General features: G+C 40.9%; 1 protein-coding gene across 1 annotated transcript in view, besides 1 other annotated feature; it reads left to right on the forward strand.

The window, feature by feature from the left end:
• The window catches only part of RARS1 (arginyl-tRNA synthetase 1), a 32,831-nt gene continuing 20,189 nt past the window's right edge, over positions 779-13,420 (forward strand). The window contains exons 1-7 of the mRNA NM_002887.4: positions 779-851; positions 2,910-3,044; positions 6,967-7,155; positions 8,202-8,310; positions 8,858-8,958; positions 9,623-9,744; positions 11,536-11,656. Of these exons, the coding sequence (NP_002878.2) occupies positions 807-851; positions 2,910-3,044; positions 6,967-7,155; positions 8,202-8,310; positions 8,858-8,958; positions 9,623-9,744; positions 11,536-11,656 (822 nt within the window). The 5' untranslated portion in view covers positions 779-806. The remainder of the gene's footprint in view (positions 852-2,909; positions 3,045-6,966; positions 7,156-8,201; positions 8,311-8,857; positions 8,959-9,622; positions 9,745-11,535; positions 11,657-13,420) is intronic.
• Positions 5,308-5,477: an enhancer, noted in NCBI's record as "experimental_83610 CRE fragment used in MPRA reporter constructs". NCBI's record gives its function as "activates a minimal promoter by MPRAs in K562 erythroleukemia cells, with activity observed for both the introgressed and non-introgressed 5:167918090 variant alleles {active_cell/tissue: K562}" and the evidence as "EXISTENCE:reporter gene assay evidence [ECO:0000049][PMID:34662402]".

The raw sequence follows: 13,420 nt of genomic DNA on the forward strand, positions 1-13,420 counted from the left end.
AATGTTCACAGCACACACGCGCGCGCGCGCGCGCGCACACACACACACACACACACATGCAAATGATAACTGTATGAGATGAAGGTTATGTTAATTATTTTGGTTGTGGTAATCATTTCAGAATGTATACATATATCAAAACATTACGTTGTACATCGTTATGATATACAATCTTTGTCAATTATACCTCAATAAAACTGGAAAAATAAATAAGATTTTAACTCAAATGTCACTTGCTTAGAGATGTCTTCTCTCACCCAAGTCACTCTATCACATTGCCTTCCTAGCAATTAAAACTACCTGAGATTATTGCCTTTTTTGGTCTATTTTCTCTCTCCATTCTAAAATGTGTCTGCCGTGAGAGGGGAGATCGTGTCTGTTTTGTTTTCTTTGTGCCCCCAGAGCCTAGAATACTGTCTGGCATTTTAAAGTACACAATAAATGTTTGTTGAATAAATGAATGGATTTGTTAGTTTTGTGCCCATTTCACAAAGGGGCAAAGTGAGGCCTTTGAGAGCCAGAAGCTCTAGGTCAGTGACTGTCCTAGTCTATCCAAGCACAGAGCAGCTCTGGTTAGTGTCTGCTCAATTCCTCTCCCCTCGCCCAAACGTCCCTGAGTTGCGGCCTCGCTCCTGACCGAAATCCCCGCGGGTTCTCCTCGCAGTGTCTACTGGATCCCGCCAGGAGGCAGCAGAGGCGCCAGCACCCAGTCCGACGGGACAGCGGACCGGAGGGGGTTTCCGCTTCCGGGAGAGGCTGACCGTTTCCGCTTCCGTCCACTTGGCGAGTGAGACGCTGATGGGAGGATGGACGTACTGGTGTCTGAGTGCTCCGCGCGGCTGCTGCAGCAGGTTTGGACGCAGGAGACCGGCGGGAAGGCCTGAAAGAGATGGAGCAGGCTCTGACTCCTGCCCAAGCGGCTTCGGGGGCGGGACAGCTAGGCGAGGACCATCCTGGTCCTCTCAGAGTGGAGCGGCACGGTCCCTGTGGGAACAGGAAGGGTTGAGAGAGGAAGCACCCATCATTTCAAAGCCCGTGTGACTGTGATTTTCAGCGGAATGGAGGGTCCCCACCCTCTCCCAGGCCTCCCCCAAACCAGCGTCTTCGGTGGGCTGGAGCCTGGCATGTTCAGAACAGTTCTCTCCCTACAATCCACCTCCTCTTCTGCATACACACGCGATTTAGGGGATGCGGGGAGATAGACAAGGGGGGAATACATTCAGAGCTCTGGGTCTTGGTTTGCAGCTCAGCCGCAGTTCTTCCCGGGTTACTGAGCGAGAGGATTCCTAATAAGCCCATGGGGTGATTCATTATCAGACCAGCGGAGCTTGCTCTGTGCCCTCAGCATTCGTCGGGAAGGAGCAGCCACACCATATAAAAGTGAAAGCGGCCGGGCGCGGTGGCTCATGCCTGTAATCCCAGCACTTTGGGAGGCCGAGGTGGGCGGATCACGATGTCAGGAGATCGAGACCATCCTGGCTAACACAGTGAAACTCCGTCTCTACTGAAAATACAAAAAAACTTAACCGGCTGTGTTGGGGGGGGTCCCTGTATTCCTAGCTACTCGGGAGGCTGAGGCAGGAGAATGGCGTGAACCCGGGAGGCGGAGCTTGCAGTGAGCAGAGAGCACACCACTGCACCACAGCCTGGGCGACAGAGTGAGACTCCGTCCCCCTACAAAAAAAAAAAGTGAAAGCGGAACAGTTCCATTACCTTTTATGCCCAGGTGGGGAGGGATGGTAGGAAGATAGTTCACAGTACTCTGTCCTGTTACGGCTGTATACTTAATCAGCAGTCACAAAGTACAAGTTAGTCAAGTAAATTGGCAAGCTCTTTACATTTCTGAGCCATTTATTTATCGGTATGTATTTATCTTTGCCTCACTTGGTTGTGATAATCATGAAGGTAATTTCTGAAAAGTGTTTTTAGCTCAGCTCCTGGAACATAATGTATGCTCATTTTTGGCAATTTGGTTTTGGCTGTAGCTATCTCCCAGTAAGTATTCTGAAATTTCAGGTGAGGAACTCCCCCTGAGTTTTGCAGTTTAAGTTGGAAGCTTTATTTCTTTCTGAATTGACATGTCTTTAGTTTTAGATGTTAAACTACAAAGCCTGGTCTGGTCTAGTCTAGGACCTAAGACACTGGAAACAGGAAGAAATGGGAAAATTGTTTAGTCCCAGAAAGGGTGAAAGGCAGACCCTTGAGCTATTTTGAATGTGACAAAGGACATTTGGGTTTTTTAAGAGTCCCAGGTCATAGGATTTGGGAATAAAAGCAGGTTGGTCAACCTGAAACTTAACTACTCTTGCTAAATCAGAGTGTTTATCGAGCCAAAGAAAAGAACTAGGGATATGAGACATGAGGCATATCCCATTATATACTTACTCCGATTCCTGTCTCCCAAAACACATGTATGTGTGGTTAATATATTCTTTTTCTTTTTCTTTTTTTTTGAAACAGAGTCTCGCTCTGTCAAGCAGACTGGAGTGCAGTGGCACGATCTCGACTCACCGCAACCTCAGCCTCTGGGATTCAGGCAATTCTCCTGCCTCAGCCTCCCAAGTAGCTAGGATTACAGGCATGCGCCACCATGCCTAGCTAATTTTTGTATTTTTAGTAGAGACAGCGTTTCGCTATGTTTGCCATGCTGGTCTTGAACTCTTGGCCTCAAGTCATCCACCTGCCTAGGCCTCCCAAAGTGCTGGGATTACAGGCGTGAGCCACCATGCCTGGCCAATATTTTCTTATTAAGGATAATATGCTAACGTCAGCAAAAATCTCAGAGGAGAAAGAAACACAGCTCATCAAAGGGAACATTAATGATTCCCATGGTCTATGCCACGCCTTGGTAGAGAGGGGAAATGTGGAAGTAAGTTTATGGACTGAAAAAAGTGCTTTTTTTCCCACAGGAAGAAGAGATTAAATCTCTGACTGCTGAAATTGACCGGTTGAAAAACTGTGGCTGTTTAGGAGCTTCTCCAAATTTGGAGCAGTTACAAGAAGAAAATTTAAAATTAAAGTATCGACTGAATATTCTTCGAAAGGTGAGTACTTTGGGTTCCAGTTTTATTCTCCAGTTTGAATCATTATAGCTTTTTTAAAGCCTTTGTTACCAAAGATTCTGGAAGTATATCCTATGGAATTTGGAAAAGAAGCATAGAAACCCTATTCTTTTCCCTGCATTAGACAACTTAGGACTGAGGTAGTTGGTGCAAATAGTGACAAGTTGGTGTTGTCCTGTCCTTCAGGACTCTTTGAAATGTTTCATCCTGCTAACTGTTTGGCTAACTTAAAGTAGGATTTAGGTAGGGTTGAGGCATTTCTTTTTAAAAATTTATTTATTATTTTTTGAGACAGGGTGTCTGTCACTCAGGCCAGAGTGTGGTGGCATCATCACGGCTCAGTACAGCCTCAACCTTCAGGCTCAAGCAGTCATCCCACCACAGCCTCCTGAGTGGCTGGGACTACAGGCGTGTGCCACCACATCCAGCTAATTTTTTTTTTTTAATAGAGATGGGGTCTTGCTGTGTTGGCCAGGCTGGCCTCGGAATTCCTGGCTTCAAGCAACCCTCCCTGTCTTGGCCTCCCAAAGTGTTGGAATTACAAGTATAACCTACTGCACCCAGCAAGGTTGAGGCATTTCTTTCAACAGTTTATGCCCATGCCTTTTTTAAAAAAACATGTTTGATTTTTAAATCATTGCCTCTATCATAAAGGAAATATTTGAAAATACACCTGCATATTTTCTCTGCCCTAAGTTGGTTATTTTACAGTTTTATATCTTACATAATCATTTGGGGTTTTTTCCACCTGGTATTTCAAAACACTTTTTTTCCCCATGAAGCTTGTGCTATGTTTATTTAATGGTCTCATGATTTAACAGTGTTTTACCAATTTTGTTTTAAAAAAATGAACTTGCTGCAGTTTTTTGGCCTGCCTTTCGTATTTGGTGATGACATATCCCAGAGTGTTGACCTCATTCCCATAATTATTCTCCTGTGTGTATATATTACTGTCAGACAAACTCTGCAGGCATTACATCCTTTTCCCAAAGCTGATTGATCCATTTACTCACCTTAGACTCTATCTTCCCCACTCCCATGACATCTCTCATATTATCTTTTTTTTTTTTTTTTTTTGAGACGGAGTCTCACTCTTGTTGCTCAGGCTGGATTGCAATGGCACAATCTCAGCTCACAATAACCTCCACCTCCCAGGTTCAAGCAATTCTCCTGCCTCAGCCTCCCCAGTAGCTGGGATTACAGGCATGCACCACCACACCTGGTTAATTTTGTATTTTTAGTAGAGACGAGGTTTCTCCATGTTGGTCAGGCTGGTCTGGAACTCCTGACCTCAGGTGATCTGCCTGTCTCGCCTTCCCAAAGTGCTGGGATTACAGGCGTGAGCCACCGTGCCCGGTGTCCATATTTCCTATTTGTGATCTGCTATGCTCGAGTCTCATATTACCTATATGTGATCTGCTGTGCTTGTCTTTGAGTCTTCTAGAATCACAAAATTCCTTTTCCATAGAATCTTCCCAAAAGAATCTCACCTTTCTCGTTATGTCATTCATTCTACACTTATATATGTTTAATTCTCTGTTATATTTATTTTAATTCAAAAGTATTATTAAATGTCTAATATGTGCTAGAGACTATAAGGGAAAAGATACAAAAGGAAGTACAGTATTTTGTCGAACTCCTCGCCTCAAGTAATCCTCCCACCTCAGCCTCCCAAGTAGCTGGGATGGAAGTACAGCATATTTTACTACACATTTTTCTGTAATGCAGATTAGCTCTTATATAGCTAGGAGAATGCTCTCACTGTATTGTGGGAGGCATATTGGTTCTTTGACAAATACTTTGCCCTACTGAATGAGCAGCTGAACACAAGGTACACAGCAGAACTAAAAACCACAGAGTAATAAAGTACTGTGTGTGATGGCCATTCACCCTGTCGTTTTTCCCTGGTTCACTTTGGCCACATGCTCTGACTTGAAAGCATCACATATGAAACTGGTAGAGACAACTTGTTGAATTGATTATAATCAGATAGTAATTTTCATAGTGCCAAAACTAAGCACAGTAGATTTCGTGTGTGTAGGTACACACACATACATATGTACATGGTGGTACTCCTATCCTTTAAAAATAAAAAATTGAGGTTGGGCGCAGTGGCTCACACCTGTAATCTCAGCTGTTTGGGAGGCCGAGGCAGGTGAATTACCTGGAGTCAGGAGTTCGAGACCAGCCCAGCCAACATGGCAAAACCCTGTCTCTACTAAAAATACAAAAATTAGCCAGGGATGGTGGCATGGGCCTGTAATCCCAGCTACTTGGGAGGCTGAGGCATGAGAATCACTTAAACCCAGGAGGCAGAGGTTGCAGTGAGCCAAAATCGTGCCACTGCACTCCAGCCTGGGCAACAGAGCAAGACCCGGTCCCAAAAAAATAAATACATAAAAATAAACAAAAAATTGACATTTATTATAGCAGGTTTTGGGTATAAGATCATAATCTAGGCCAAGTGTGGTGGCTCATGCCTGTAATCTCAATGCTTTGGGAGGCCAAGGCAGGAGGATGTCTTGAACCCAGGAGTTCAAGGTTACAGTGAGCTGTCATGCCACTGCACTTTAGCCTCAGCAGAGTGCACAGTGAGATCTTGTCTGTTACCCCCAACAAAGAAGAGAAAAGGATCATATCCAAGTAAATTTGGCATTTGCTGTTGGAAATCTTTAGATTGGGAAAAATGTATCTTCCTTGTTTTAAGTATGTTACCACAGAGAGGAGTCAATTATTGATTAGCTACAAACTTGAAATCAGGTTTTTTAGTGAATTTAAGAATATAATTTCTTCATATGATAGAGAGGGCTGATGAGGGGAGCATAAAACTTGGACTGTCCATTCCAATAGACCTGAGTTTGAATCTGGCCTTTTCCACTTATTCTGTCTTGTCTTTGACAAGTGACTTATCTGTAGCCCACATAGAAATAGTGATAATAGTAACAAGCTCGATTTTATTATGTAGATGGAATAAGATAATGCATATAAATAAAGCATTTGGTTCAAATCTTTGCATACTCAAGTATTAACTTTTGTTATTGTCATTATTTTATACTGTTGACATTTTGATGAATATAAATTTGTGATGAACATAAAATTGTGATGAACATGTTGATGAACATAAAATTGACAAACATAAAGGTGTATAGGCAGCATGTTTATCTTCTATTAAAAGCATATGTGTCATTCACCTTTTTTTTTTTTTTTTTTTTTTTGCTAAACTGCTGTATGGCAAGTACAGTGCTAGATGCCAGGGACAGGGAAGAGAGCCATGAATTAAGCACTTTGTGTGCATCCAGCAGTCTAGTGGTAGAGACAGATAGTTTTGTGAGGGTATGATAAGTGCAGTAATAGAGATAATTATATGCCATCTTAAATGACTATATTCCATGGGAAAACAGGAGGTAGTAGGTCTCATAACAGTAAAACAAAACTACTGGCTTTTCTGGTATATTAATATTACCTGCTTTGCTCCCTTTTATTTCATGCCTTGAAGAGGTCAACATTTTGATGGACATCATGTATTTTTTTGTTTGTTTTTTGTCCATTGAGTTTTCACTTCCAATATTTGATGTGAAATAAATTATTTTCTCAGAGATTTGGAGAAGCTGAGAAAAGGATTCCATCAGCTCTTTTAACTCCCTCCTCCCAGTTTCTGTTCTGCTAAAACAAATGCAAAAAGTAAGACCTCAGGGCATTTCCCATGGATGTCTTAGATGCCGTGGGATGGACTTGTCCTGCTGCATGTCTTAGCAAATCCCAGATTGAGGGCATCACACCATAAGTACGTTTTCCCTTTTGGTTCTTAAGATATTTGGAGGTTTATACTCAAAATATTTGGAGACATCTTGTATGATGATGGTTTTACGTACATTATTGACATGTTTCCATTCTTTTCCTACAGAGTCTTCAGGCAGAAAGGAACAAACCAACTAAAAATATGATTAACATTATTAGCCGCCTACAAGAGGTCTTTGGTCATGCAATTAAGGCTGCATATCCAGATTTGGAAAATCCTCCTCTGCTAGTGACACCAAGTCAGCAGGCCAAGTTTGGGGACTATCAGTGTAATAGTGCTATGGGTATTTCTCAGGTGATGTATTGTCATGACTCTTGGCTGTTTGATTTTTTTAAGTATTATTATCATCATTGCCATTTACAGAAATAATACTATTACAAGTTGTATCCTTAGTGAAAAGGACATTTGCCACAGTTTGAAAAACTTGAGAAAGGAGTTGGGGGGGTATATGTTTTAACTTTTTTAGGCACAATTTTTAAGGTTTGGTTAAATTTTATATGTATTCTCAATATTTAAGGGCAATCATTGGTACTCTTTTGTTTAGGTATTTCCCTCCTGCTGTGTCCAGGATTGCTGTGTGGTGGTGATGAGTGCTGGGAGGTGAAAAATTAAAATAAGCCATTTACCAGTCAGCATCCCAATTAAATATTTGATGTAACTGTGATCTTTGAGCCAGGCTTATATATTCATTTTCAAGCAGAGGAGTTCCCCATTTTAAATAGAGGCATTGTCTGATGTGTTTATGGTTAACTGCATCTGGCTTGGGTCTTTCTGTTTTCCTTTCTTTGCTGAATTGGAAGGGGTTACTCTGAAGAGTCCAGGTCTTACAGTGTGGTTTATTTCTCAAGTGTGAATATTGCACACCTTCATGGCTTGAAAATTAGAAATGTAAATATGCTGGAACCAGACTTCATAACTGTAGACTTTGTTATGTCATCATTAAAAAGTTCGAGGTGTTGTAATCCCAGCTACTAGGGAGGCTGAGGCAGGAGAATTGCTTGAACCCAGGGGCGGAGGTTACAGTGAGCCGAGATCACACCACTGCACTCCAGCCTGGGCAACAGAGCGAGACTCCATCTCAAAAAAAAAAAAAAAAAAAAATAGTTCCAGGTATTTGTGTGTAACGTATTTGGAAATAGAGATCATGTAGTGTGGGCACTTTCTATGCCTCTTGGCACTATTGATACTTTAATCTGTCATTCATAATGTGATTGGACTTCTCTGCTTCTGCCTTTTGATGGTTCTTAACGTAAAATGCATCTCGTGCCTTGTCAGGTGTGCATTTGCGAGTAACTTGCTGAAATCTGTTGTGTAATGAATCATTTTATATTGTGTTGTAGATGCTCAAAACCAAGGAACAGAAAGTTAATCCAAGAGAAATTGCTGAAAACATTACCAAACACCTCCCAGACAATGAATGTATTGAAAAAGTTGAAATTGCTGGTCCTGGTATGACATAATGTTATCCTTCTTAATAGTTGTATTGAACATGAGTCCTTTTTGAAGTTAAAAAAGAACACACATTTTAATTACAGGGTTAAACTTTGTATACTGAACAAGATGGTGAAAGCACTGTGGATTGTGATATAGGAAATTGAAGTTTTAATCTAGACTCAGCTACCACTTTTAGCTGCCTTATCTTGAATGAGTTACTTTGCCTCTCTGTGATTCAGTTTTTCATCAGCAAAATGAGGATAGATAATGGCAGATAAGTCTTCGGCACAAGGGCCTTCTGTTTTCTGTTAAGAGGCGAACAGATTGTTTGCTGAAAGTGAAAGGGCCCTGAGTTAAGTAGGAAGGTTTCAGGAGAGTGGTGAAGGCTTGAAGTAGACGGTGAGACAGGAGCTTACAAGACAGCTTAAGTCAAGGCCACAACTGGTATTGGAATCCGGAAGAATTTTGCCAGAGCCAGGTCAGTGTCTGGAGCAAATCCTTAGGAGCGAGTGATTATTCAAGATAAGACAGTATCTGATATTTTTTCTCTTCTATCCATTAGGTTTTATTAATGTCCACTTAAGAAAGGATTTTGTATCAGAACAATTGACCAGTCTTCTAGTGAATGGAGTTCAACTACCTGCTCTGGGAGAGAATAAAAAGGTATATGTACACTCTTCTATTAATATATTAGTATCTTAGAACTGCGTGGAACCAAGCATGGTGGTATGTGCCTATAGTCTCAGCTACTTGGGAGGCTGAAGCAGGAGGATTGCTTGAGCCTAGAAGTTCAAGGCTGAGGTGTGCTGTGATCGCACCTGTGAATAGCTACTGCACTTCAACCTGGGCAGTATCATGAGACTTCATCTCTAAAAAAGAAAAAGAAAAACGAACTGCATGGAAAGTGCTGAAACCGGGAATGGATTTCACTTTTATACTGAAATTTAATCATTCACATTTGAGATTATGAACATTTATGAAGTAGCCTTTCCCCTGGGTCTAGCATGTTGTGTGATTTTTTTTTTTTTTCACTTAATTCCACAAGGCATTTGAGGTAGCCAATTGATACACAGATATCACTGAAATAGAATGGATAATTTGTATACATGAATTTGATTCTTTTTCAGTTAAAAATATACAAGCAGATCCATCATAAAATCAAACATGGTTGAATTACGGCCCAAATTAATGTTTAAGTCTGAGTTTGTTATTAAATGTGTTATTAATGAATGCATTGGAACAAAATGTTTATGCTCCTCTTAAAAAAATCTTTCTCTCTTTATGTTTATGCCCCTCTTAACAGCCTTTCTCTTTTTGTCTACCCCAGGTTATAGTTGACTTTTCCTCCCCTAATATAGCTAAAGAGATGCATGTAGGCCACCTGAGGTCAACTATCATAGGAGAGAGTATAAGCCGCCTCTTTGAATTTGCAGGGTATGACGTGCTCAGGTATGTGCTCTTGCCTTGCGTACTATTCTCTTTCCTTATTTTCTTGTTTGGAAAATTCTATAGAACATGGAATATCTCACTCAAGAAAGAACATTCGACTAAATCAGTGGTTCATCAGCTTAGTTCTTCTTTACAACCACCCAGTAAGCTTTTAAAATATGTCCTGAGCCTTTCCTCTGAACCTTTTTTACTATTTTATTTTTTTAGACTCTTAGTGGAACCAAGGACAAAACTCCTTCATTCTACACATGTTTCTTGAGGACCTCTTGTATGCAATGGGTTTATATCCTAGCAGGGAGAGAAGTAGTAAAGAAACAGGTTGTTTTGGGCCTTGTAAGCTGTGAGAGGCAATTGAGATTTTATTCTAAGTGTACTGGGAAGCTATTAGAGAGTTTTAGTTTGTGAAGCAGGGTGATCAAATTAAAGATTAGCCTGGGTACCATGGCTCACACCTATAATTCCAGCACTTTGGTAGGCCAAGGTGGGAGGATCACTAGAGGCCAGGAGTTCTAGGCCAGCTTGGGCAACATAGCAAGAACCTGTCTCTATTTTTTATATTTTTAAAGAAATAAAAATTTTTAAATAATACAAATTAAAGATTACTCTGGTTACTTACTGTGAAGAAGCTAGACAAAGAAGGGAGACTATAACAGTAAGTGTTAGGCCAGGCACGGTGGCTCACGTCTGTAAACCCAGCACTTTGGGAGGCCAAGGAAGGATGGATCACGAGGTCAGGAGTTTGAGACCAGCCTGGCAACATGGTGAAACCCTGTCTCTACTAAAAATACAAAAATTAGCTGGGTGTGGTGGTGCACACCTGTAATCCCACCTACTTGGGAAGCTGAGGCAGGAGAATTGCTTGAACCTGGGAGGCAGAGATAGCAGTGAGCTGAGATCGTGCCACTGCACTCCAGCCTGGGCAACAGAGCAAGACTCTCTGTCAAAAAAAAAAAAAAAACAGTAAGTCAAGAGGCTATCATAATCCACTTGAAAGATGATCTGGTGGTTTGGATTAGATAAAAGCAGAGAGGGAGAGAAGTGGGTTGGATCAACATTTTTTTTTGGAGACAGAGTCTTGCTCTGTTGCCCAGGCTGGAGTGCAGTGGCGCAATCCTGGCTCACTGCAAGCTCTACCTCCTGGGTTCACGCCATTCTCCTGCCTCATCCTCCCGAGTAGCTGGGACTACAGGCGCCCACCACCACACCCGGCTAATTTTTTGTATTTTTAGTAGAGACGGGGTTTCACCATGTTGGCCAGGCGGGTCTCGAACTCCTAACCTCAAGTGATCCGCCTGCCTCAGCCTCCCATAGTGCTGGGATTACAGGCGTGAGCCATTGCACCCGGCCTCAACATATATTTTCAAGAATTTTGTTCATTGATATTTGGGAACCATTGGTCTAAATTATATTAAGATAATGGTTAAAATGTTAAATTTTCATAAAATTGTGGGAATAACCAACATTGGCCCAGCTGTCATTGTCTCAATTAGCTACAAAATAAACAGATTATAGTCCACTGACAGAAAACACATTCATTCAGCAAATTCTGGATGCCTGCCTTGTGCAGCCTCTAGTACTTGAGTATGCAGAGCTGAATGTAACAGACATAGTTTTCATCTCTTGTGGAGTTTGCAGACCAGTTGAAGAAACAACCAAGTAAACAGATATTACTAAATGGTGATGTACTGGCATGTAAATATTAGTGGTTCCTAATGGAATATAGTTCCTCTAATTTAACTTAACCATCTTTATTATTTAAAAAATGATTATATATTCTCTGATTGGTGTTAGGTTAAATCATGTAGGAGACTGGGGGACCCAGTTTGGCATGCTCATCGCTCACCTGCAAGACAAATTTCCAGATTATCTAACAGTTTCACCTCCTATTGGGGATCTTCAGGTCTTTTATAAGGTTTGATACCATTTCTTTTATATTATGTGTGTGTTTACCATTAATCATAATTATCCATTTTCCTTAGGAAACTTAAAATGGTTTTTAAAGCTACTATGGAGTTAAGTGAAAGTTGCTAACAGCCTTAGTAATACATGTCTCTGTATAAATGACATTCTCTTGAACTTAAACTACTTTTTTTTTTGTAATTTATAAAGACGTTTAATTACCTCACAGTTCTGCAGGCTGTACAAGCATGGCGCTAGCATCTGCTCAGTTTCTGGGGAGGACTCAGGGAGTTTTATTTATGGTGGAAGGCAAAATGGGAACAGACTAATTGATAAACATATAAAATTTGTTCATCTACACTGGCAAGCCCTTTCGTTTAGTTTACCTATCTGAAAAACTGAATTCTTTTTTATTCTGACATTCATTGCATTTGGTTGTGTGCCTTAGAAACAGCCATCCCCTACCCCCAGATTCATTACATTTGGTCGTGTATGTAGAACCGCTACTAGATACCCTACATTTGGTTGTATGCATAGAAACAGCCATCCCCCACCTGTTAATATGTCATCTTTGCTTTGTTTATTGGCGTATGTTAAAAATCAAATTCTAGGTCAGGTGCGGTGGCTCGTGTCCGTAATCCCAGCACTTGGAGAGGCTGAGGCAAGCCGATTGCTTGAGTTCAGGAGTTGGAGACCAGCCTGAGCAACAAAGTGAGATCCCATCTCTACAAAAAATACAAAAATAACTAGCCAGGCATGGTGGTTCACACTTGTAGTTACAGCTACCTGGGAGACTGAGGAGGGATAATCGCTTGAGCACAGGAGGTCAAGGCTGCAGTGTGCCATGATCATGCCACTGCGCTCCAGCCTGGGTGACAGAGCAAGACCTTATCTTAAAAGATAAAATTATATTAAAAAAAAGTAAAAAAAAATGAATTATACCACATTGAATTTAGAGGTTTATTAATCAATGCATTATAGGACTTAAAATTTTTTGATGCTTAATTTTATGTATTTTGATATGATTAAATGTATGTAAAAACAATTTTAAAGACAAATTTTCACATCATCCATAATTTTAAAATGCCTATTGTGATCAACTTTCTTTGAATCCTTGACTTAATCTGTATATCAACATGTATTAATCATTTATGATTTTAATATAGTTTTTGTATTATATTTAATATTGCAAACTTTTGTGTTACTTTATGACTGCACATTTTGTTGGATCAGTGTACCAATGTTTACATTAATCCTTTATTAGGATTTTTTTCTATTTTAGAGGTGTTGTTATTCAGTAAATAGCTTTGTACACTTGGATTTTTTTCCCTCTTTAAAAATTATTTCCTGGCTGGGTTCAGTGGCTCACACTTGTAATCCCAACATTTTGAGAGGCCAAGGTGGGCAAAATGCTTGAGCCTAGGAGTTTGAGACCAGTCTGGGCAACATGGCAAAACCTCATCTCCACAAAAAATACAAAAGTTAGCCAGGCATGTTGGTGTACATCTGTAGTCTCAGCTACTTGGGAGGCTAAGGTGGATGTGAGTATCACTTGAGACCAGGGAGACCAAGGCTGCAGTGAGCTGTGATCACACCATTGCACTATACAGCCTGGGCAACAGAGTGAGACCCTATCTCAAAAAAAAAATTATTTCTTCAAAAATTAAAAATTAAAAATGTTTTTTAAAAATTTCCTTATGGGCTGGGTGCAGTGGCTCATGCCTGTAATCCTAGCACTTTGGGAGGCTGAGGCAGGCAGATTGCTTGAGTCCAGGAG

This window comes from Homo sapiens, chromosome 5 (genome assembly GCF_000001405.40).
Source record: "Homo sapiens chromosome 5, GRCh38.p14 Primary Assembly".
NCBI classification, from domain to species: Eukaryota; Metazoa; Chordata; class Mammalia; order Primates; family Hominidae; genus Homo; species Homo sapiens.